General features: G+C 40.7%; 1 long non-coding RNA gene across 3 annotated transcripts in view, besides 2 other annotated features; it reads left to right on the top strand.

The window, feature by feature from the left end:
• Nucleotides 1–26,514, top strand: part of LINC02217 (long intergenic non-protein coding RNA 2217) — a 37,676-nt gene that overhangs the window by 10,590 nt on the left and 572 nt on the right. Inside the window, exon 1 of one of the 3 annotated variants that reach the window (NR_134273.1) lies at nt 22,129–22,605. The exons of the other annotated variants lie outside the window; for them this stretch is intronic. This is a non-coding gene — a long non-coding RNA (long intergenic non-protein coding RNA 2217). Of the gene's footprint in view, nt 1–22,128; nt 22,606–26,514 lie in introns of those variants that run through there. 3 annotated transcript variants of the gene reach the window in all.
• Nucleotides 307–1,120: an enhancer, noted in NCBI's record as "OCT4-NANOG-H3K4me1 hESC enhancer chr5:17415024-17415837 (GRCh37/hg19 assembly coordinates)". NCBI's record gives its function as "activates a minimal SCP1, AML or CMV promoter by ChIP-STARR-seq in naive H9 embryonic stem cells {active_cell/tissue: H9 hESC(naive)}" and the evidence as "EXISTENCE:reporter gene assay evidence [ECO:0000049][PMID:30033119]".
• Nucleotides 1,121–1,933: an enhancer, noted in NCBI's record as "OCT4-NANOG-H3K4me1 hESC enhancer chr5:17415838-17416650 (GRCh37/hg19 assembly coordinates)". NCBI's record gives its function as "activates a minimal SCP1, AML or CMV promoter by ChIP-STARR-seq in naive H9 embryonic stem cells {active_cell/tissue: H9 hESC(naive)}" and the evidence as "EXISTENCE:reporter gene assay evidence [ECO:0000049][PMID:30033119]".

Consider the following 26,514-nt stretch of genomic DNA (forward strand, 5'->3'; position numbering starts at 1 on the left):
AAAAAATAACAAAGCATATTACTTTAGTCAAACTTTACAGAGAGGATAGATTGCCTACAAAGAGGTTATTGTAATATAGCTCATAATTTTTTCAGGAGTATGCTAAATATATATATATATATAAATATGTGTGTGTTTATGTGTATATATACACACACATATATCTACATAAACACATATATATGTTTATACATATACACATGCACAAACATACACACATTTATATATTTACTAATGTATTTAACTTCTCCAAAATATTAGCTACCAAACAGAATATTAGATTAAAATATTTTAAATTAAAAAGTTATTTAGAGAAAAATAATAGAACTGTCATATATCTCAAATAGCTTATGTTGACCTCTTCCCTGAACTCTAAACATTAAACTTTATTAAGAGGAAAATAGTGCATATGCGGGACAAGCATAAGAAAGCGACTCAGGAGTACGGAGTAAACAGAGCAGGCTCATTGTTCAAGTTCAGTGAGTGTAATTATCTGATAGCCATTTGTAGTTCCTATAAAATACCCTTTCCCCCCCGTATTTGTTGCTGCCAGTATTTAAAGACAGGTCTAATCTTTTCTGCTTTTAATCCCTTTGTCAACCATCAGCAGCCAGTGGGAAAAAAAAGGAAAAAAGAAAAAAAGAAAAAGAAAACAGAATCATTTAGGTTTGGCCTTCATGTTATCCTGTCCCCAATTGCACTGAGAGGGGACAGATGGGTGACCAGCTGTCGTGACACAGGACCAGGGTCACGGGGTCCCCGCACACAAAGCAGCGAACGCTGCTGGGTCCTCAAGCCGCCTCTGCCTCTGAACACAAAGCAGCGAGTGCTGCTGGGTCTTCAAGCTGCCTCTGCCTCTGAACAGCCTCGTTGGGAGCGAGGCTCTCTCAGGCCGGCATCACTCACGCTCACCAGTGAGGCTCTGAATGTTTTGTCTCAAGCCAGGAATGTTAAAGGCTCTGGTTCTCTGCAGCCAGTTAGGAACCCTTTCACCATTGTTTGCTTCCATGCATATGCCCTGTTCAGCAGCCACTCTGTGAAGAGGAAACCTCAGTAACAGGAGGGGGAAGGACGCTGCCATGGATGCCTTTCTACCCTCCAGGGAGGTGACGTGAGAAGAAGGACTTGATAAATTGTAATATCCCTCTGGAGGAGTACCCCTTTAAGAGAATGAAGAGGACCACCTTCAGGAATAAAACTGCCTTGGAAAAATTGTAACAGAAAATTATGAAAGTGGAAGATGCCTGACCTAATCGAGGCCATCTTGCTTCTAACCTCCAAGCTGCCCTAGTTCATTCCTGGGCGAAGGCTGAACTAACCTTGGGAGAAACTTAGGTTTTTTTTTTTTTTTTTTTGAGACGGAGTCTCGCTCCATCGCCCAGGCTGGAGTGCGGTGGTGCGATCTCGGCTCACTGCAAGCTCCGCCTCCCGGGTTCACACCATTCTCCTGCCTCAGCCTCCCGAGTAGCTGGGGCTATGGGCACCCGCCACCACGCCTGGCTAATTTTTTGTATTTTTAATAGAGACCGGGTTTCACCATGTTAGCCAGGATGGTCTCGATCTCCTGGCCTCATGATCCGCCTGCCTCGGCCTCCCAAAGCGCTGGGATTACAGGTGTGAGCTACCACGCCAGGCCTTTTTTTAAAAAATTTAAGTTCTAGGTTACATGTGCACAACGTGCAGGTTTGTCGCACAGGTATACATGTGCCATGTTGGTTTGCTGTACCCATTAACTCGTCATTTACATTAGGTATTTCTTCTAATGCTATCCCTCCCCCAATCCCCCACCCTACGACAGGCCCCAGTATGTGATGTTCCCCACCCTGTGTCCAAGTGTTCTCATTGTTCAATTCCCATCTATGAGTGATAACATGCGGTGTTTGGTTTTCTGTCCTTGTGATAGTTTGCTCAGAATGATGGTTTCCAGCTTCATTTTTGTCCCTGTAAAGGACATGAACTCATCATTTTTTATGGCTGCATAGTATTCCACGGTGTATATGTGCCACATTTTCTTAATCCAGTCTATCATTGATGGACATTTGGGTTGGTTCCAAGTCTTTGCTATTGTGAATAGTGCTGCAATAAACATACATGTGCATGTGTCTTTATAGCAGCATGATTTATAATCCTTTGGGTATATACCCAGTAATGGGATCGCTGGGTCAAATGGTATTTCTAGTTCTAGATCCTTGAGGAATCGCCACACTGTCTTCCACAATGGTTGGACTAGTTTACAGTCCCACCAACAGTGTAAAAGTGTTCCTATTTCTCCACATCCTCTCTAGCATCTGTTGTTTCCTCACTTTTTAATGATCGCCATTCTAACTGGTGTGAAGTGGTATATCATTGCGGTTTTGATTTGCATTTCTCTGATGGCCAGTGATGATGAGCATTTTTTCATGTGTCTTTTGGCTACATAAATGTCTTCTTTTGAGAAGTGTCTATTCATATCCTTTGCCCACTTTTTGATGGGGTTGTTTGTTTTTTTCTTGTAAATTTGTTTAAGTTCTTTGTAGATTCTGCATATTAGCCCTTTGTCAGATGGGTAGATTGCAAAAATTTTTTCCCATTCTGTAGGTCACCTGTTCACTCTGATGGTAGTTTCTTTGGCTGTGCAGAAGCTCTTTAGTTTAATTAGATCCCATTTGTGTATTTTGGCTTTTGTTGCCATTGCTTTTGGTGTTTTAGTCATGAAGTCCTTGCACATGCCTATGTCCTGAATGGTACTGCCTAAGTTTTCTTCTAGGGTTTTTACGGTTTTAGGTCTAACATTTAAGTCTTTAATACATCTTGAATTAATTTTTGTATAAGGTGTAAGGAAGGGATCCAGTTTCAGCTTTCTACATATGGCTAGCCAGTTTTCCCAGCACCATTTACTAAATAGGGAATCCTTTCCCCATTTCTTGTTTTTGTCAGGTTTGTCAAAGATCAGATGGTTGTAGATGTGTGGTGTTATTTCTGAGGGCTCTGTTCTGTTCCATTGGTCTATGTCTCTATTTTGGTACCAGTACCATGCTGTTTTGGTTGCTGTAGTCTTGTAGTATAGTTTGAAGTCAGGTAGCATGATGCCTCCAGCTTTGTTCATTTTGCTTAGGATTGTCTTGGCAATGCGCTCTCTTTTTTGGTTCCATATGAACTTTAAAATAGTTTTTTTTCCAATTCTGTGAAGAAAGTAATTGGTAGCTTGATGGGGATGGCATTGAATCTATACATTATCCTGGGTAGTATGGACATTTTCATGATATTGATTCTTCCTATCCATGAGCATGGAATGTTCTTCCGTTTGTGTCCTCCTTTATTTCGTTGAACAGTGGTTTATAGTTCTCCTTGAAGAGGTCCTTCAGATCCCTTGTAAGTTGAATTCGTAGGTATTTTATGGGAGAAACTTAGTTTTTAGTTTAACTTTGAAACAAAGATGATAACAGCCCTTTCCCAAAACAAGCCTCCTTCTTGCCTGGGGGCTAGACTCACTATGTAGGACTAACAAATTAGCCACAAGATTAGAAATTATGGTTTAGGAGTCATGCAGCTAAACATGCAGCCAAACAAATTCAGAGTGATTTGAGTAATCATAAAACTCTGGTCTCCTGTATAGCCGGCTCTGCAGGAATTCGACTCTTTCTCTATTGCAATTCCTGTCTGGATGAATAGACTCTGGGCAGTGGGCAAGGAGAACCTGCTGGGTGGTTACAGGAGTACGTAGCAACAATGTGTACCCTTTTCTTTACAACTCAAGACAATTTATCAATCCCACTTTACAAATTAGTTGAATACAGGACTCTCTTAACTGCTTATTCCAGTGGTTTTCAAAATGTGGTCTCTGCACATTTATACACTGTTGGTGGGAATGCAAATGAGTCCAGCCCCTGTGGAAAGCAGTTTGAAGATTTCTCAGAGAACTAAAAATAGAACTACCATTCTACCCAGCAATTTTATTGCTGGGTATATACCAAAATGAAAATAAATCGTTCTACCAAAAGACACCTAGACTCATATGTTTATTACAGCAGTATTCACACTAGCAAAGACATGGAATCAACCCAGGTGCCCATCAATGGTCGATTGGATAAAGAAAATGTAGTACATATACACCATGGAATACTATGCAGCCATAAACGATGAGATCATGACTTTGCCACAATATGGATACAGCTGGAAGCCATTATCCTAAGTGAATTAATTCAGAAACAACCAAATACCAAACGTTCTCACTAATAAGTGGGAGCTAAACATTGGGTACACATGGACACAAACACGGGAACAATCAACACTGGGGGGTCAGGCACAGTGGCTCACGCCTGTAATCCCAGCACTTTGGGAGCCCAAGGCAGGTGGATCACTTGGAGTTAGGTGATTGAGACCAGGCTGACCAACATGGTGAAACCCCATCTCTACTAAAAATATAAAAATTAGCAGGGAGAGGTGGCACGCATCTGTAGTTCCAGCTACTCGGGAGGCTGAGACAGGAGAATTGCTTGAACCCGGAAGGCAGAAGTTGTAGTGAGCCAAGATCACGCCACTGCACTCCAGCCTGGGCAACAGAGTGAGACTCCATCTCAAAAACAAACAAACAAACAGACAAACAAACAAACAAACAAATAAACACATAAACAAACACTGGGGATTCCAAAAGTGGGGAGGGTGCCAGTGGGGCAAGGGTCAGAAAACAACCTATTGCGTACTATGTTCACTACTTGTGTGACAGGATCATTAAAAGACCAAACCTCAGCATCATGCAATACACACATATGACAAACCTGCACATGTACTCCCTGACTCTAAAATAAAACAAAACAAAAAACAAAACCAAAGTCTTGTCCCTGGACCAGTAACATCAGCAATATCTGGAAGCTTGCTAGAAATGCGAATTCTCTGCTGCACTAAGACCTCCTGAATGGAAGACTTTGAGGCGATGCCCAGAAATCTGTATTTTAGCAGGGCTTCCAGATGAATCTATGTATGCTGAAGTTTTTACTATTTTGAGATTTTTGCTGATGGTTTTATAACAATATTGGTACTTTCAAATTCATATTATCAACACTCATATTTTCATATTCATATTTGTAAAATATTTCATCCTACACATGAGAAAACACACCTAAGATAAAGCGAGTGGCTTAAAATCACCCAGCCAGTGGGTGAGAAGCCAAAATCTTCCAGTCTGGGATGTTTTTAATTCCATTACATTGAAATGCAGAATTAATGTTTCCTTTACCTAGGCATTAAAGGAGAGAATAGGGTTAAGCTCACCCAGGGAAGGTCACCTGGCTGGCCAGAGGGGTGGCCCCCACCTTGGGAAATTTACTGTCGATAGCAGCCCCACAGTCTTAGAGATCTATATTGTCTGAAATCCAAAAGGAGAATCCAACCCTTTCCCAAACAGAGGGATATTAACCAGGCCTAGGTCCATCAGTGCCAGCCTCTCTCAGCAGCTCATCTCCACTCGATGCCCAGAAAGCCAATTGATCACGGGAATTCTGTTTTTTTCCTGCAAAAGGTGAGGCGAAAATGAGTGTATGTATGTGTGTGTGTGTGTGTGTGTGTGTGTGTGTGCATTTAGTTACATTACTAAAATGTTAATCAAAATGAAGTTAAAAATGGCCTGATTGGTCCCCCTGATAATTGGGCCATTTTGAGGAGCAGAGGAGAAAATGCAGAAAATAGCTCTTTGTAAACTAAATAAAGGCAAGCAGCAGTATTATTATCATTTACCTGTAGACATTCAAGGTGTTTTAAGTTTTTTTGACTAAATTTTACTAGATTTATGGTACATACCCTTCAGAATTCAAGAAAGCTTTCAGCATTTGGTGTTCAGAGTTCAGATCTTTTAAACTGTCCTGGAGAATGAACTTGTTAACAGAAAGTTACACCCACACACATTCACTCTTGAATATGTGCTATGGAGTGTCTACCAAGAAATCCTGTTGGTTTAGTCGTGGCTGCAACAGCACGGTTTTGGGATAAAGGGAGCCTCTGCAGAGAGCAAGGGTGCTCAGATCCAGAGTCCCCAACTCTGTTCTCTGTCACAGCTGCGGTTCTCCAAGAACTTGCATTGGACAACTTCCTTCCCTTCCCAGTCTGGCAAGTCCTACCTGGGTTCATTTCTTCCTCATTCATGGTGTCCAGAGCACTTTGAGTATTTTGTGATGATGATTATTATTTTTCTTGTTCAGGGAAAATTTCCCTTTCTGCCCATAATACTATTATTTTTGGGCCACTTGTCTAGACGCTGCCACTATTCCCACCCATTCCCTACCCACCCATTCCCTCTCCAGTCCCTGCACACTGAGGACATCCCACTCTCCTGACACCAGCTTTCCTTGGTTAGGAGTCACACATTTGGGTTTTCATCTTCATTATTTTTTTACTCTTCCCAAAATCTTTTTTATGTGCAGAAAGGTGTATAAAATTTAGAAAAGATCAATTGTCTACTTTTATTTTGAACCAACTAGTATTCAGTTTATGAAAGTTGGGAATTCAAAACTCCAGTTGTTTTTGAATCTTTAAAGCTCAGTTTACAAACTTTCTTGTTTTTTTTTTTTTTTTTTTTTTTTTTTTTTTTTTTTTGAGATGGAGTTTCACTCTTTTTGCCCAGGCTGGAGTGCAATGGTGCGATCTCAGCTCACTGCAACCTCCACCTCCCAGGTTCAAGTGATTCTTCTGCCTCAGCCTCCCGAGTAGCTGGGATTACAGGCATGCACCACCACGCCTGGCTAATTTTGTATTTTTAGTAGAGGCGGGGTTTCTCCATATTGGTCAGGCTGGTCTTGAACTCTCCAGCTCAGGTGATCCGCCCAACTCTGCCTCCCAAAGTGCTGGGATTACAGGTGTGAGCCACTGCACCCGGCCCACAGACTTTCCTATTCTATTCTATTCTATTCTATTCTATTCTATTCTATTCTATTCTATTTAGCAGATTTTCACAATAATTTCTAAAGGGCCTGGGAATAACGTTGGTTCCATTTACAGACCTAGATAAATCCCATTTCATCCTGGTATATTACTGTAGTAAATAAGCATTTATACATTTTATAGTTTTTACTTTAATTTTGTTATCTGCCTTAACAAATAAAACTTTCCCTCATCCCAAATAACTATTATAAATATAAAAATATACTTTATAACGAGAGCCTTAATTATCTTTGATATTCTAGTATAATGCCCAGACTTAGTATGATTTTATCTTAAGACCTGAAGTTTAAGTCAATGACTCAAACATACATTTTAAATGAACATTAAAATGTTGTCACTTCAACAGGCCAAATCATTCCAAGTACTTTGAAATGTTTGATTTGAGAAGTTTGTCATGAGAAGCACACTAAATGCATATAGATTCCATTTCAATATAATGATGGCCAATGTTTATTGAACACCGTTTTTTTGTGCCAGGCATTCTTCTACATTGTTATTATTATTATTATTTGAGACAGGGTCTCACTCCGTCACCCAGGCTGGATTGCGGTGGTGTGATCTCGGCTCACTGCAACCTCCGCCTCCTGGATTCCAGCGATCCTCCTGCCTCAGCCTCCCGAGTAGCTGGCACTACAGGCACATGCCACCACACCCAGCGAATTTTTTTGTATTTTTTTGTAGAGATGTTTCACCATGTTGTCCAGGTTGGTCTCAAACCTCTAGACTCAAGCAATCTGCCTGCTTTGGCCTACCAAAGTGCTGGGATTATAGGCATAAATACATTTTTTTTTTAATGAAAAATTTTTAAGGAAAATTTTAATGGTGGGATCTTGCTATGTTGCTCAGGCTAAACTCAAAATCTTGGGCTCAAGTGATCCCTCTATCTCAGTCCTATGAGTAGCTGAGACTACAGGTGCACACCACTGCATCTGGCCTCTCGATTCTGTTTTAACACAAATAATATGCCAAGATCTTCAGGCTCTTAAAATTTTATTTGGTAATGCTATATTTTCCCAAGGTTAAAAGATGCTTCCCAATTTATGGAAGATAGTAGGCTCCTTCCCTGTTAATTCAGGTTACTTAAGACTGGGAGTCTTGTGAATGATCACAATGGGATACATGGAGCCCCATGTTACAGTTGTCATTTCATGGACTTTGAAATGTAATAAGGGTGGGCCTCTTTGGTCCCGTAGCCCATTCCTCTGGCTTGATGTTTCATACACATAGCTCCCCAATTCTTCTCTTTATTCACAGAAATCTGCAGATTTTATCCAGGTTGATCACCTGATAGAACTCAATATTTTTTTTGTTTTGTAAGAGTTGTAAATATATTTTTCCTTGACTTCTTAAGACCATTGTACCATCTAAAGACAATTGATGGAATCTCAAGGTATTTAAAAGTATAGTTTTTATTAAGTGGTAAAGATTTTTTTTCTTGGTGTGATTCTGCATTCTTTCATGGTCTTAAGACCTTACAACTCTGATGAATATTTAAGATGATATTCAGTTGAATTTTGGATAGCTCACTTGGCTTTCTCTGACTTGCTGTTACAATTTATGAGGCCATTCTAACAACAGATACACATGTGCAAACATTTATGCACAATGGAGAAAATTTGAGCTCACAGGCCTACTTTCCACTTTTTCTCCTCAAAAAGTGTAACTTTGGTTGGAATAGAAAGAGAGGAATTGAATCTTCTTTTATTCCCTTGTGGATTATGTTGGGGAAGTAAATCAATATTAAGAACTGTATGTAAGAAAAAGGAAATTCCAAAATTTGCAATGGAGTATATTGGTATATTGGTAAGGGATAGCATAATTTTAGCCATTTCCAACTCATCTTTCTTTCAACATTCATTATCAAATATTTACTGAGCCCCTACTATGGGTCAAGTATGGTTCCAGGTGATTTGAGATATACAGGTGAACCAAATGAACAAAGACAGATGATAAACAGTCACCATAATACAATGGTAATTTATATAATATCCCAGAAGAGACAAAATGCTGTGGCAACAGGGAACAGTGGAGTAGGGTAGTGGGGGAAAAAGAAAGGCACTGGTTACCATTTAAATAGGGAGGTCTGGGAAGGCCTCACTGAAATGGGATAATTTGAGCAAAGATTTGAAGAAGTGAAGGGAATTAGCTATGCAGATATGTAGAGGAGAGGTTTCTAGGTAGAGAGGAGCTGCAGCCAAGGCATCATTGAGGGCAGCAAGAAGCCATTATGCCGGATCAGGGATGAGAAGGAGAGCTCTAATGGGGACAGTTCAAGGAGGGCCTGGTGGCCTTTATGGGTGTTGGCTCTTCCTCAGAGGGAACTAGTGAACCATTGCAGGGTATTGGGCAGAGCGCTGACATGATCTGACTTATGTTTTCAGAGGGTCATGTGTTTGGAATCGACATTTGAGGAATGTCTATTCCATGTAATTACATGGAATCACAAAGAGTCTATGACCTAAGTGAGGGAGAATGGCTTGAGCCAGTATGGAAGCAGAAGAAGGAGTGAGCAGTGGTTAGGTCCGAGGTAGCCTTTGAAGGTAGAGCTAAGAGCATTTTTGACATTGGATGTGTGATATGGTGTGTTTTATTTATAAAATAAACATCTAGTTTGGTGGAAATTTTCCAACTCAGTCTATTGAAGGAATTTCCAGAACTAAGCCAGATTTTTCATCTTTTGAATGAAAGGGTCAAATTGCAGTGCATGCAATTTTACACTTTACTCATTTACAACTTATTTTATTCATGGCTGTGAATGGCACAGACTTTATGATATGTAACTCAGAAACGGTTTCAAAGACCCCAACAAAACCTACTCATATTCCACATTGAGATAATCATTTAAATTGAAGAGAAGCACATTCTTTGTGGTCTTTGGAAGCAGCTCAGCCCTTAATGATTGTGACTCAAACAGAGGCAACACAGTTTTCATTTGAACATGTTATTCAGATACAGCAATGATATAAAAGAATATTGAGCTGGAGGTAATTTTTAAGCATTTTTTTTGATAAGAAGGATATCTGCTTACCATTTAAAGAGACTCAACTTGTTACAGAAATATATAATAGAGAAAGGGAGAATCTCCTGTAATCTTGCCCAAGAGTTTGTTGAAGATGCTGAAGGGAGAAAAGACGGCTGGGCTGGAATGTGTCTACCTGCAGACGTTTCGAAACCCCTCTGAAGTTTAATCATGGGAGTTGTTGGGATTGCCCTGGCCACACACAGACTGTAATTAGTTTGAGCTTCGGCTTTGATTTGTTGGCCCAGGCTGATGCATTTCTGAGTGCCCAGGAGAAGCACAGCAACTCAGCCCCCGCTAGGTGCGGGATGCCCGGCAAGCCCCAGAAAGGTTCTGTTCCGTCCGGTGCAGGCAGCGCAGTGAGGCTCAATCTGACTGCTGCTGGCTCTTCTCAGGCCCACCGCCTCTCTGCCCCTGACCGGGAGGATTTGATGCCCTTCAAAATGTAGAGCCTATTGATCTGTTTTCTAGGCAACGAATGCTGAAGCCATGTCCACTAATGTGGCTGCAGAAGGTTAAATATGGATTTGGCAAGAATTATGAGCTGCCCACGAATGTTTTAGAGATGGTCTGAAATGTAGACATAGAGAAAGAGGCAGCTCAGTGGCGGGTTTTGTGGGCACGTGTGCATCTCCTGAGGTGAAAGTTATGTCCTTTGTGTTTAATTGGCTTTGCAGTATCCTGGATCTTCATTATACAATACTCATACCTGAAAAATTAGTAAAAATGGGAGGAACACAGGCAATGTCAAAGACAAAAAAAAATTCTCTTTACACATGTCTTACACATTTTTGATATTATGCATGTATTAATCAGTCACCCTGTCATTCTCCCATTGCACTCGAGAAGGTAGAGTATTAAGAGAGAGAGAAAGAATATAAAATCTTCTGTAGAAGGCAGACTTTTAACATATGCGGACAAAGAAAACAAGAATTTAGCAATATGTTACTAAGTGACAGATTTAGAAAGTTCTTTGTCATTTGATCTTCAGGCTTTTTTCTCCTCTTGTTTTTTATACAAAGCGTGGGTAATAAAAATAGTTCTGTTGGTTTTCATTTCGAGTCTGGTTTCACGTCTGTCTTTTATGTGGTGGTAGCTGTAGTATGCTTGAATTCATAGAAAATACCTCACGGAATGCTTACATCTACTCTTAGGATATTTTCTAGATTTTTGTTTAATAAAATGTATGTACATATGGCCTGATTCATATTAAAGTGGATTTTTGCTGAACATTTCAGCCTCGGAAAACCTAGGTATGAATCTTGACTGTAATATCTCCCAGCCATGTAACCAGTAATAATATTACATCGCCTCTCTCAGGTCACATTTTTTATGTGTAAAATGCTGATAATTGCATGTCACTCACATGACATTTCACAGGGTTGCTTGGTGTGTTACAAGAAAAATATATGAGGTAGTAAATTGCAAATGATAAAGCCCACTAAAGACTAGTTATTAATATTGAAATATTCCTACCTTTATTTGAATATTACCATTAAGAGAACCTGTTTGAGAAAAAGTCCTAAAACGGAATTTAAAGCTCTCCTTGAGTAAAAGAGATGTGGAAATGATGGGATGGTTCAGGCTTCTGGATTTAGGTATTAGCCCTGGAGACAAACTAAAAAGGGAGGGGAAATTTTTCTAAACAGGCTTATGGATAAGTAGATACCTCAGAGACATGTCTTTGATTTTTCAGGTGGCTGTAATTGATTTATTGTGCCTGTGTGAAGTTTGTATGCAAATGTGATATTAACCCATAATTATATTCTAAAAGTGTGAATTATGTAGGCAATTAAATGTTATGAGACTGAAAGGTGATGCTATCCCAGAGGTATGGTTTTGTAGGATCAGATTTCCATTGTGTGTGTTGCTTTCCAGAATTAAAAACAGCACCCTACTCCCTCACCAGCTCCACTGTAAAAGTAACATGGGTCTGCGTGATTTAGAAAACTTTCTCTTCTGCTGGTTGTAGGGTGGAGCTTAAAAAGAAAATTGAAACTCTGCTTGTCTCGATGATCATATCTAAAAGCATATGATGTGCCACCAGATACAGGAACAAGAAGTTCTGCTGGTTTTTCTCTGGCTTTTTTCAGAGGGTGAGGTAGAGATAATATTCTTTCATCTTCTGTGCAGTTCTAAAGGCATTGTGGATTCTCAAAAATTACTAAACTACCCATGACAGTTTCAGATCTATGGCCTGGAAGAGTCTCTGGATGGTTTAATAGATTTCACCAGTTATTTGCTTCCTGAATGAATATTCAGGTTTTGTCAAGTTCAGGAGAACAGAGCACTTTAATAATCAGGAGAGTGAGAAAGCGTATTTATTTTGTGGATGAATGACGATGACTGCAGATGTAGCAAGTAGAACCAAATCAAAAAGTCATTAAAGATGCTAGTTGATGCTAATTGATTTAATGTGTTGGAATATCCGAGAGTTCAAAAGTAGCTTCGAATAAGCTGCTTTGTGGTTGTAACCCAGTTTCATCACTTACCAGATGGGAAATTTTGGGAAGGTTGCTTAGTCCCTCTGAGCCTCAATCTCCTCATCAGCAAAATGAGGGTAGAGCTATTGTGAGCTTTCCATAAATTATTACATTTAAGGTACCTGAAAGTATACCTAGAACATCACACTCACTCATTAATGCCAGCTATTAGTTAAATATTTTAGCAAAATAATTTAAGCAAGGAAATCTCTTCATATACTGAAATTCCTTGTAAAGCCAGAATAAAAACAATGTGTTCAAATTCTTTGGTTGGCTTTTTTTTTTTTTTTTTTTTTTTTTGACAGCACCTTGGTGACCTTGCTTTGTCACCCAGGCTGGAGTGCAGTTGTGTGAGCTCACTGCAGCCTTGAACTACTGGGCTCAAGTGATCTTCCCACTTTAGCCTCCTGAGTAGCTGGGATTACAGGCATGCACCACCATGCTTGGCTAATTTTTATTTTTCTATTTTTAGTAGAGATGAGGTCTTACTATGTCACCCAGGCTGCTCTTGAGCTCCTGAGCTCAAAGAATCCTCCCATCTTGGCCTCCCAAAGTGCTGGGATTACAGGAGCCCCCGTGTCCAGCTGTCTGTTGGCATTTGTATTATGACATTTGTCACAGTTGTTATGTTAATAGAATTGCTGAGAAAAAAGGGTATTGTGCTAGGTGAACCCAGGCTTCACTTTTCCTGCATCCCAGCCCTCACTGTGACGTAAAGAGGGACACTGACATGTAACAATAAGAGAAAGTACTGATGTGTAACAACTGGGCTTGAAATGTTCCTTATACATAGCGTAAGATAGGCATGCAGCAAATTCCCATTAGCCAATTCATTTTCAAAACAACCTCTGCTATAGTTATCCCAGTTTCATATACAACATATATGGCATCTGGCCAATAACCATATCCCAAGAGTCTCTCAATCTACATGGAACTGACTCCTTCTCCATCCTATCAGACATACCTCTTTCTTTCATTTTTTTCTGTTTCCTCCTTTCCCTCTCACAGTTTTACTGTACTCTTTGTTTTCTTCAATTTTTTTGTTCTTTTTCCCTGTCATATCTGAGGTTTTCCAAAAAAAGCTGTAGACATCCTCTACTACCTATTAAGTGACAGAAATACAGAAATTAGGCTCTCCTTAGCAGAGTATGCTTTACTCAATAAAGGAAGGATAGCATAATTTGGCCCTTCTAAATGTTAAAGTCACTGCACATATCTTTTGTTTGAATTAATCATGGTTTCCAGTCATTGTTGAAGTGAGGGTTAACTTATTTATTTCTGTAATTCTTCCTGCCCGCATATGAATACAGCAAATGGTAACTTGATCCAAGCCAAAGACTCCAAAAAAAGGAAGTAGTGGTGGGTTGTGCTTCTGTTGCTCTGGGGTTATACATTTCTTAGTGCTCTTTGGAAAAATAAATGGAGATACCAATAGGCATAATTATCACAAAGTGAAGGAGGGAAAGAACAATGAAACTGACATGAGAAGAATTGCGCATAGGTTGGCACTTCCGAATGTGGAAGTGTTGCTGCCAGGGAGGAACAGAACATACCGCTTTGGGCTCAGCTCTAATCCTGCAGAACAGGAGACCTGGCGGGGAAGGGGAAGAAAACGTGGGTGTAGCACAAAAGAAGCAGAAAGAAAATGAAGCAGTTTCCAAGGAACAGGTGACTAGGGCTCACCTAGTTGTGAAAACAGATCAGCTTTTTTTCCGAGCTTTTTTTTACTATTGAATAAAGTACAGTGACTCCTTAGACACTGCCACAGAACCTTCTTGTCTTGATGAATTGTCCTTCTTCTTAGCTTGCAGTAATGGGATTGTATATTTCCTTCTCTAGCTAGACTGGCAGCCTATCCCCCATGTGCTATTCCTCAAGTTGTGCAATTGCACAGCCATATTTTCTTCTTTGTTCAAAGTGTGTGCATGAGGCCTTGGAGACTTCACTGTTTTGAGCTGAAGTCAGTCTCTCTTACTCTGGTCTCAAGTTTCAGTGGGTATCTGCCTGTGTTCCAGACACATTTTCTGGTTGTAATTTTTCTACTTTCTACAATGCTTAAAAGTCAATGGGAATTGATCAAGATGTAAGAAAAACTCAGAGTTGTCTTTGGAGTACCTTCACGCTTTGTGATGCCCTTCTTAGAATTAGGACATTGAGAACGTGTCTATCCTACCTCTTTAGGGCCCACACTAGGATACGTGGGACTCTGGGCAAGTATTTTTTTTTGTGGGTCTCTCATTTATACAAGCAATTCCTTTGAAAAATGCTTTGCAAAATTTTAAACATATACAAGGTTTAGTGATTGACCACTGAAGATTAAGAATGATGGGTAAGGAGGTACTGATATATTTGTTTATTGTCCAGACTACTTGATAATTCTTTGCAGCATCCTGACACCACCTCTTTCCTTCTGGATCCAGGAATCATCTCTTCATATTAGTTATTGTCAAATGTGTTGTTCCTGAGTAATTCATATCTCCCACTGTGAGAAAAGGGTGGCAATCTTGTTATTATTCAAGACCTATAGCTTGTCAGAACCTGTCTGTGTTGAGACGTTCTGACTCTTCTTGCCTCTAAAGTCCCCAGTGCTATTTGTTTCATGCTGGCTACATCATTACTCATGATGCTGTACCATCCATCCTGCTGCCTGTGAATACTGGCTTCTGATGGCTTTTTCAGAGGTCGTGCCGGTGCTTCTTTGAAGGCGACCACAAATGCACAGAGTATGCAGGAAAATGTGCACAGTCATTTATTTTATGGTCAGGTAAATTTACCCTTTGGAACTTTATGGTATAAATATAGAACAACACATTTTCCAACCATGTCTTCTCTTGAACCCTTGAGGCTGTAATCACAGCACTCCTAAAATGTGATCTCTTTTCATGTTGACTGCACCCCTGGTTTCCTCACACTGTTTCCAGTGGTGGAGCAAGAAGAGTGATCCCATTTAGGCAAGGAATCCCTGACCCTTATCTGGCTCAGCTTAACCTGGGAGGGCACAGTCATCACATCAGCTGGAGGAAAGAATGAACATGGATTGGAAGAGCCTGCTGGTGTTGCAGAACAACAATCCGGAAAGCCCTTGGAGGAGGTGGGTGAAGCCACCTTCGAGCACTATGGTGCAGCCTGCAGAGGGATGGGGGATGGCCCTGGGTTTCAGCAGCAGGGGGTCCACAGCATAAACCTTGCCTGCCACCGCGGGTGCTGCAGAGCAAAGACAGCACCATAGTAGCAGCAAGAGGGACAACTGAGGAGGCAGGGAACCTCACATGCAGCTCGAACCCAAGAGCTGGCTGATGGCTGTTGGGAGCCCAGAGTCCTGAACTCATCCTGTGACCAAGTGAGTGAGAATCATTCAAAATCAGGATGTCAGCACCATTCTGGCAGCCCAATCGCACACCATCCCATGACAGCAATCCTGTGCCAGTCAGCAGAATCAATCCACTCACTAGGCTGCTTTTCTGGAACTGGAGGTCAGCCCCAGGGCCCCAGGATGACCTTGCAGGCACGAGATCTGGAGTTCTTTGGAATGTCAAGCCTACCCTGTGCATAAGAAAGTGGGTTGGAAAGAACTCTAAACGGGAGAAAGGGGGACTCGGTACAAGCAAATCCCCATTTGGGCTCAGGAAACCTGCCCAGACCACACTACCAGCTCCAGCCAGGCCCAGGAACCAGAGGGTTGGGGGTGGGGGTCTCAGAAACTATCATGAAAGACCTTTTCATGGGCCCCTGAATCATGAGGACTGAGGGAGGAGCCCAGCTCACCTGGGTCTAAAGTGAGCCCTGCCGTTTGTTTCTTTCTGCAACAAAAAGGAGTGGAAAGGATAAAACAGAGGGTAGGCATGGAAGAGATGAGGTCAAGTATGAACCGCTCTTGGAAGCCTGAGTCCTGATAAGGGCTGTCCACGGGTTGGCCCCTATTCAAGGGCTAAAAGTTTTCCATCAAATAATTTAACTAATATATAAACAGTCACAGCAGCAGCAACAGCAGCAACAAACACTTTTATAATGAAGCTCTACCTATTCTGCACTGGAGGGAGAAAATGCAAGAAAGGATATTATTTGGTCAATGGACAAAACTAGAATATGATTGTTAGATTAGAAAAAATTATTGTATCAGTGCAAATACATGAAGTTGATGAGTGTATGGTGATTGTAGAAAAGAATATGCCATAGGATACACTGAAGTATTTAGGGGTAAAAAACAATGTTCAGAAAAAAAGTATCTATTTATCTGTCTATCAATCATCTGTCAGCCTACCAATCTATTGATCTATTGATCATCTATCATCTATTGCAAATGACAGAGCAAATGGGAATAAACTATTAACAGCAGCAAAATCTGGGTAAAGGCTAAATGGATGGATGATCTTTGTACTATTTTTATTTTTGCAACCCTTTGTAATGTTAAAAATTATTTCCAAATAGAAAGTTAAAAAGGTTATCCCAACACAATGTATCACTTCTGGTAAAATTAGTTATAACAATGTTTTCTTCCCTTCCCCCATCTTCCCCTTCCCATCCCCCACCCCCTTTCCTTTCTTCCTCTTTCCATTTTCCCTTGGCATCATATAAATGAATATAGTTAGGGAACTTCTGGCATACTGGCATATTCCACAGATTAAAAGCATTTAAAATTAAAGAATTAAAGGGAAGTATTGGCTAGATCTAGGATGGGCGAGATGGCAACAGAGTTGCAAGCAGAGGCAAGAGGATCCAGAACTTGACTTTGTGTTTCTGTAGCTAATAGGAAAGTTGTATAGAGAACTTGAGTAAAAGAATCACAATAGGCTGGGCGCAGTGGCTCACACCTGTAATCTCAGCACTTCGGGAGGCCGAGCTGGGCGGATCATCTGAGGTCAGGAGTTTGAGACCAGCCTGACTAACATGGTGAAACCTCATCTCTACTAAAAATACGAAATTAGTCAGGTGTGGTGGCGTGCGGCTTCCCTTCCCTTCCCCCTTGCCCCTTCCCCCTCTCCTCCCCTCCCCTCCCCTCCCCTCCCCTCCCCTCCCCTCCCCTCCCCTTCCCTTCCCTTTCCTTCCTCCTCCCTTCCTTTCCCTTCCCTTTCTTTTTCTTTCTTTCCTTTCTGGCTCTATTGCCCAGGCTGGAGTACTGTGGTGCAGTCTCAGCTCTCCGCAACCTCTGCCTCTCCGGCTCAAGCAATTCTCCTGCCTCAGCCTCCTGAGTAGCTGGGACTACAGGCACGCACCGTCATGCCTGGGTTCTTTTTGTGTGCGTTTTTAGTAGAGATGGGGTTTTGCCATGTTGTCCAGGCTGGTCTCGAACTTGTGAGCTCAAGTGATCTGCCCACCTGGGCCTCCCAAAGTGCTGGAATTATAGGTGTGAACCACTGGGCCAGCCTAGAATGTCCATATTTCTAATCTAATGGTTGCCAGGGGCATCACAGCATGCCATAGTGGTTAGTAATGTGGGCTCTGGGAAAAAAAGAGTTTGAGTTTAAGATAAGCTTTTGCATTTCCCACCTGGGTGATCTTAGACAGATGGCTTCATTTTATCATGTCTCAGCTTCCTCACCTATAAATGGCACCGGATAGGAATATCTTCGCCTGAAGGTACCAGAAAGTATGACTTACAGTAGCTTAAACAAAGAGAAACCCAAAGAGCAGGTGCTGCTGATCAATAGTGTGAGAGAAATGAGGTTTTTTGTCTCTGCCATACTTTGTGTGCGATTCTACTTTTCATACAAAAAGAAGGGAAAAGAGGCATGGGAGAATTTTTGCTGAGTCTGCCTTTTTATCAGAAAATCAAAGCTTTTCTCAAATTTCCAATAAGCAGAAACTCACTTATGGGCCTGATTTGTATCTCCTGACCACCTTTGCTTGAATTTGGGAGAGAAAGGAGATTATAGATAGGGCTTAAGTCAGACAATCAAGAGTGTGGGTTATTGTGTGTTACAGGGTTCTGAATATTAAATGAGCCAACGGCTGTAATGTTCTTAGAAAAATTCACAAGTGCTCAATTGTTAGCTTGTTATCATTATTGGTAATACTAATAGAAGTGGAATTTTTATGTACATATTGAAAATATCATCAGAAATAATTTTGATAAGACCTGTGGAAACAGGGGAAAAAAGATGAAGTCAACAGCTCCCTCCTTAGTTTCACCCTTGGAGAAGGCTTAGAAGGAAGTGAAGCATTGATGTGTAAACCACCTACATGCTTGCAAACACCTGTGATTGACCCTCTCTGTAGGCCAGGTAGGACTGTGGGACCTGCTTCCATAGAGAAGGGCTTGTAGATTTCGAAGAGGATGCTGGGATCCCAGAGTAGCACAAGTGGCTGCACTTATTCACTTATTTTGATTATAATAATATATGTGGTCATCAGTTTCTCCCTGATTTTCCATGTGGTTGGGCTATATTTATTTTGTTGGGGTTGGCTCAGAGTAGACACAACAATCTTTGCCTTGAACATTTTCGGTGAGCCATGTTGCCCTTCCTGGAAGTAGGGGTGCTTTGTCTGTCCACTGGGGCTCCATGTACACAAGTACACCCACATTTTATTGGTGGCTGTTTTCCAAGTTGCTAGCTTGGCGCTTTTCAAAATGTGCTGAATGGCCGTTTGGAACTTGTCTCTGCTGACTCCACTGGGCTCGGTTTCAAATCTCTCCTAATCCACTAATGAACCTTTATTAAAGTGGGAGAGAGAGGTTGAATCAGTCTTTGGCCGCATTATTAAAATAAAGTAGGAGCAGTGAAATGATCAAAACAGAACGATAACAAAGGAAAGCTCAGTCTCTCCACCACTCTCTATTCAGTTCTTTAAAGCTGATATTTTTGGGGAAGAAATGCCAATATTATTAGATTAGTTTTCAGTAGTCTTTAACTTTGTTTTATTTTAACTTTAATTTTGTTTTATTTTTCAGGGAGGAGACTGTCATTCACCAGCAAACCCCTGCCCCCTCACTTTTTCTTTTTTGTAATTGGAAGTTCAGGTTGAACTGCTCTGTAGTTATTCACCCACTTCTGCTGGTCAAAGGCCCATGAGGATTTAAATGACTAAATAGGCCATAAAATGCCAACCTTTTAGACGTCTAAAAAGTGTCTGCTGGATCAAACAGTCATCACGAACCACCCTTAGATTCCTCTGCCACTCACTCTGCTCCCTGTGTCTGGGACACCCTGAGTCCACAGTGACTCTTTGCCAAAGTATAAAGAAACCACCATGTACCTTTTCAAAAATGTCCACTTGTCCTTAAAGTCATGAATAAAGGAAGAGATGGCTTCCAGATATGCAACTGGACTTCTGACAGCCATCATCCTCTAAAATTTCCCTGTGTTTTGACTGAAGTTATCCACCCACTTCTGCTGGTTCCTGGCTCACATAAACATTGAGCAAGTAACTTTCCATTAGACCCAGAGGATAGACTAGGATAGAGTTCCGAGTGTCTGAAAATTCCTGGTCCCCAACAAAACTGTGTTCTGCTCAATAATTTATTTCGTAAGAAGTTATAATAAGTCTAGTCATTAAATCAAAAGAGAAAAACCTTAATGAAGTATAATATTGCTTGGTACTTGTTTTTGTCAGTTCCATTTCTTCATTAACTTTTTGATTGGGAAAATAAAGATAATTACACAAATCTATTCTCAAATTTAGCCATGGATGATTTGATTTCTCTTTCTGTCTCTTCTGTGCCTGTGCATACACACACACACACACACACACACACACACTCAGAGAACAGAGTTGTCTCTTTCTCTCTCTATATATATACAGAGCATATATATGTGTGTGTATATATATGTATATGTATGTGTATATATATGTATATATATATATAGAGAGAGAGAGAGAAAGATAGAGAGAAAGATGCTCCTCAACTTATGATGTGTTATGTTCTGATAAACCCATGGTAAGCTGAAAATATTCCAAGTCAAAAATGCATTGAATGCACCTAACCTTTCAAAAACCATAGCTTAGCCTAGTCCACTATAAATGTGCTTAGACACTTAACATGTAAATGTGGAATACTTACATCAGTTTACAGTTGGAGAAAATCATCTATCACAAAGTCTATTTCATCATAAAGTATTGAATATTTCATGTAGTTTATTGAATTCTGTACTGAACATGAAAAACAGAATGGTTGTATGGCTACTTGAAGTACAGGTTCTACTGAATGTGTTTCACTTTCACACCATTGTAAAGTTGAAACCATCATAAGTTAGGGACCATTTGTGTATATACCTATATGAGATATATGTTAGTAAGATATATATGTAAACAACATATATGTAAATGAGATATATAAAAACATATAAATAACACATAGATCTCCTTGTTGAATCCTACTGTGTACAAGACATAATTTTTTATGCTGGGATTCAGCAGTGAAGAAAAGGGAGGAAAGCTCTTGGCTTCACAGAGCTCACACTCTGGTGAGGGAGAAAACAAATATACAGAATATAAGAAGGTGAGGGCTGGGCATAGAGGCTCATGCCTGTAATTCCAACACTTTGGGAAGCTGAAGTGGAGGGATTACTTGAGGTCAGGAGTTCAAGGCCAGCCTGGCCAACATGGTGAAACCTCGTCTCTACTAAAAATACAAAAATTAGCCAGTTGTGGTGGTACATGCCTGTAATCTCAGCTGCTTGGGAGGCTGAGGCATGAGAATCGCTTGAAATCAGGAGGTGAAAGCTGCAGGGAGGTGAGATCGCTCCACTGCATTCCAGGCTGGGTGACAGAACGAGACTCCATCTCAAAGAAAAAAAAAAAAGAAGGGGGTAAGTACCATATGCAAAAGCAGAGCCAGGTGGGGGACAAGAGTGTTCAAGAGTTGTCATTTACCCATTTAGATGATATGGTCAGAGAGGCCTCCCTGAAAAGGTAATGTCTGAGCAGAGACTTATGGGAGAAGAGAGAACAGGGTGAGAAGATCTCTGGGGGAGAAGTAGAAAGTGCAAAGACACAGAGGTGGCGATGAGCCCCATCTGGTTGGGACAGAGTGAAAAAGGGGTTCAGCTGGAGGGGCCTGAGAGGTGAGGGTGGCAGAACGTGTGGAGGTGTAAGCTCAGCAGATGGTGGACACCCTGGAGGCCATTGTGAGGCTCTGGTTCTCCCTCTGTGTGATTTCAAGATCCATTGCATGGTTGCAGCTGAGAAGTGAACAAGCCTTATGACCTGGTTTCTCTTGAAGAGGATCTTTCCGGTAGGTGCCTTGAGAAAAACACAGGAGGGATTGGGAGGATGTAGAAATTCCTATTTGTAAGGGTTTGCGATCTGGGTATATGTCCACTGAGCCGTGAACTTACTGTCTCGAGTTCTGTATTCTAGTTGGGACTGTTCTGCTAACTGCTGGAGGGTATTGGCACAATCACTTAACGTTTTATTCAGAAGGGAAATAGAAGTGAACACTTAGTATTTAAGTTTGAGCCAGTTTCTTCTTAATCCCTATGATCTGTAGCCTGCTAGGATCCTCAAGTTTGTTTTTCTTTTTTTCCAACACCAGAGCATGTGTCTTTGCTTGCCCCACCTCTGTCCTCATAGTTTCTTTACTAACAGCTCTGACTTCCCTTCCCAACCTCTCTTAGTACATGCGGAAGATGAGAACAGTGGACAACGGCTTTGCTAAGCCCTGAATTGTTCCGAAGTTTGAAGTTGTAACCCATGAGCTACCTCTTTTACAAAAACAGTCAAAACTGGATGTTAGAAATATTTTGGAGGTTAAAGGAAGAGTGTCTTGAACCTCCCTACCACTGAACTGTTTAATATTCTAGAATTTATGTTACACAGTAAAAGATAGACAACTCTGTCTGCAGTTCTGGGACTGGGATATGCCTGTGCATACACGCATCTGCTCTGTTTTGGTTTCACTTCACTTTAGTTATTTGATTTGGTGTCTGCAAAACCCTGTGTGCACATTTTTATGATCCTTGGGACAATTTACTGCCAACCTTGCTTGAACTCTAAAATATGCCTCCAGTTTCGGAAAACCACAAATTATTTACCAAGGAGGCAAGGAAATGGAGGTCACTGGGCTCATTTCTTACATAATTTTCAACTTCCTTTCTGAGGCCTGACATCTCCCGGCAGTCACAGTGATGTCTTCCTTAGATGGATTCAATAATGGGGAAGAACAGATGAAAAGTGGTGAAAGTTGCTAACTGCTGTGTTCCTCTGCTTGCTTTTCATGCTGTGTGCCAGGAATCAAAGCTGGAGGAGCGGAAGGTAGATATAAAGTAACCCTGTTTCCTAGGTTATTGTGTTTATAAAGTGTTAAATAGGAAATGCGAAAAAAAAACCCCTCTGCTTTGTGGGAAACAAGGTCATTTAAGGTACGAAAACAACAGTATTAAGCTAAAACAATAGAATAAATAATCACTAAAATGAAAGTACAGAACAGGTATAGAAAGTCAATCTTTGAAACATCAGCTGTTGTCAGTTTCTTTCAAGATAATTCAAGGGTGACTAACATATAACTAGCAGATACATTCAACATACAAGAGAAAAAGAGTGAGGATAAAAGGGGGCAATAAAATAAATAGTGGAATAAGTGATGACCATAGATCAAATGGAAAGGACAAGGAAGGAGGAAAAGATAGCTCCTATGTGTCTAGCTTGGAAAGATAATGACTCAATTGAGTGAATAGGGGAGACACATTGAGGGTTTGAAAGCCAGGAACTCAGGAATTTTTGTTTATTTTTATTTTTATTTTTGAGACGGAGTGTAGTTCTGTTGCCAGGCTGGAGTTCAGTGGCCTGATCTCGGCTCACTGCAACATCCGCCTCCCGGGTACAAGCGATTCTCCTGCCTCAGCCTCCTGAGTAGCTGGGATTACAGGCATGCTCCCCCACATCCAGCTAATTTTTGTATTTTTAGTAGAGATGGGATTTCACCTTGTTGGCCAGGATGATCTCGATCTCCTGACCTCGTGATCCACCCACCTCAGCCTCCCAAAGTGCTGGGATTATAGGCTTGAGCCACTGCGCCGAGCTGGACCTCAGGAATTTTTAAAGACATGGCAACATTCTTGTTGTATGGGTTTACTTATGACAGATGGGTACATAGGTCTGTCCAAAGGGGCTGGGATACTTTGTTACGTTTGAGGAATTTTTTTCTGCTAAATTCTCTTTTCCCTTTCTTCCAAGGAGGCAGGGTAAGGAGAGGTACCAGGTGCTGGTGGATTGTTTACCTTGGAGATTTCCGCCTTACGGAGGAAATAGCTGGTAGAGTCAGCAGAGACCTCTTCTGGTGGGCCTCAGGGTTGTGAGTTGAGCACTTGGAGCAGGGAAATATTGGATGTTTTCATGACATCAGTAGGATTTAATTCAATCAATGAATAGGACCCAGAAATAAATTAGCTGAGACGGGTGGGGGAAGAGGGGCAGAATCCCAACTGTGCTTAGTTATAATTTGAGATGTAGAATAAAGAGTGCTCCAGGAAGCATGGCTCCAAGCAAATGATGAGTTTTTGAATCCCTTCATGTTTATGATTTCATTTTTTTTCCCTTCATGCTTATGATTTTAATTATCTCTGTTTCCCAAAGTGATTAGCGGAAACAGTTTAAGATGAAATGAATATATGTGCTGGAAGGGGAGGCAAAAGTAGGGTGACATCCCACTTCATAGTCAGGCTTGTGGGTGGGGAGGGGATGGTGCAAGTGAAGAGCGAGAGGGCTTGCTAGTGTCTGAGAGGAGGAAGAAGACGAGGAACACGAGCTCAGTTCCTGAAGAAAGAAATCGATGGGAATCCAGGCTGATTCCACTTGGATCTGCAACACTTCAGACAAATCCAGAAGCTGGCAGCTAGAATGAATGTTTATTTCTCAATGGAATGAAAAAAGAACTGAGATGGAGCTGAAGATATTGTACTGTCTAAAATGATTTACCTTACGGGCATTCAGGCTAATGAATGAGTTCATTTCCACATCCATGTGTGATCTATGTGAAGTTCATTTCATATCTGCAATGCTCTCTGTAAGAAATGTAGTCTAATGCCTGGCACTATTAAGGGCTCAGTAAATATTATTTTCTTACTTCTGATTCTACCCACAATTATACCTGATTCTCTATTATTCTGGTATGTGAGCAATCTCAGTCAAGCTTTCTACAGTGTATATCTTACTTTCAACATACAAAGTGTATATCTTACTTTCAGCATACAAAGTGTATATCTTACTTTCAACATACAAAGTATGTCGTACAGTGTATATCTTACTTTCAACATACAAAGTAAGAGTTAAGGCCAGGTGCAGTGGCTCACGCCTGTAATCTCAGCACTTTGGGAGGCCAAGGCGGGTGGATCACCTGAGGTCAGGATTTCGAGACCAGCCTGACCAACGTGGTGAAACCCCGTCTCTAGTAAAAATACAAAAATTGGCTGGGCATGGTGGCACATGCCTGTAATCCCAGCTACTCAGGGGCTGAAGCTTGAACCCAGGAGGCAGAGGTTTCAGTGAGCCAAGATGGTGCCATTGTACTCTAGCCTGGACAACAAAAGCGAAACTTCATCTCAAAAACAACAAAACAAAACAAAGTAAGAGTTAAGATGTAAAGTTCTAAGCTCCATTTCTTTTGAATTATTTTCTCAATGTTCCAATTAACTCATACTTGTCAGGCATAAAGTTTCTCCTTAAAATTGGTTTTATTTATCTCAGTTATGAGACAATTAGAAACAAATGGTTTCTATTTGTTTTGAAAAGCAGCTACAACCTTCAAATGATAAACGCAATTTATCCGTCTTTCATCTGTTCCTTGTTTTGACTTTGTTGAAATGAATTTCCTTTTTAAACTAGCGATATTCAAATAATTTGTGAAATATTTTATTTAGGTTTAAAATAAGGACTGTGGCACATTGATCATCTAGCCTATTAGAAACAGCAAGTCTTTCATCTTCAGCAGTTTAGTTGTAAAATGCCTAGCTATCCTGAGTTGGCTGAGATTCTTGAATGTAAAGATTGCTAGCTTTAAGAGTTTTGGGAAATTCTTGACTATGTTTTTTTTACATATTTGTCTCTCCCTATTCTTTCTTTTTTCTTTAGTAACTCCAATAATAAGAATAAAGGGGTTTGCACTATGATTTGCATGTGACTGATATGTGTATTCTTTTGTGTTCTCTGTGCTCTAGTCAAATACTTCATGTTGATCTGTCTTTGGGATCACTGAGCCAATCTTCAGCTATACTGTTCAGCTCATCTGGTGAGGTCTTCATTTCAAGTATTGTATTTTTCAGTCTTAGAGCAATTACTTTTTACAGATTTTGATTCAATGATTGAACCCCACATCTTTTCATCACTTTCATTCATATTGTCTTTCAATCTCTTTACTATATTGATCATTGTATCAAAATGTAATTTTAAGATGCTAAATAAAATATCATTTTCTTTCTTTGCATCTGCTTATGTTGTTTGTATGTTTCACCTGGTAATTGATCACAATCTCTTGCCTCTTTTTATGTTAGTAATATGTGACTGTATGCCAGATATTGTGGACAAAGCACATGTCAAAGCTCTGTATGATGCTACTTCGACCAGATAGGAATCTGTGCTTTCTCTGTGGGGCAGATAAGGTGAGGAGGTGATCACCCCAATCCAAGAGGCTGAACTAGGTCAAGACTGGGTTGACATTTTAGTAAAATCCTCTCCACTTCTAGCTATGTTTTTATTCCTCAGGCCTGTCTCTTCCACACTGTTGATTGACAGCTCTGAAAGAAAGTGGAAGTTTCGGGCTGTGTAGTATCCTGCCGTATGCTCCATCCAAATTTGATGAGAATCTTGGGGAGACCAGCCACCTTCTGAGCAGACTCCTTTCCTCCAGTGGAACTTTTCCTCCCAATTATTATGGGACTTCTGAAGATTTTAACTTACTTTGCAGAAACTCCTAACCTTTTACTCAGCCTCAATTTAGCAAGGGTACTATGAGGAAAATTGGCAAGGCATTTGGGGATACTTTTGTTTCCAAATTGTTGTGGTTGCTTCTATGAATGCCACAAGCTTTGCTGGCTTCTCTTTCCTTCCTACAGTGCTTCTGCATGAACCAGATCTGATCTGTGTTTCAAATCAGCAAACATCCCAAGAAAGAAAATAGCCTGTGAAAGGTAGCTAATCTTGGCAAAACACTCTGCTCTCTGGAATTTT

This window comes from Homo sapiens, chromosome 5, assembly GCF_000001405.40.
Source record: "Homo sapiens chromosome 5, GRCh38.p14 Primary Assembly".
NCBI lineage: Eukaryota > Metazoa > Chordata > Mammalia > Primates > Hominidae > Homo > Homo sapiens.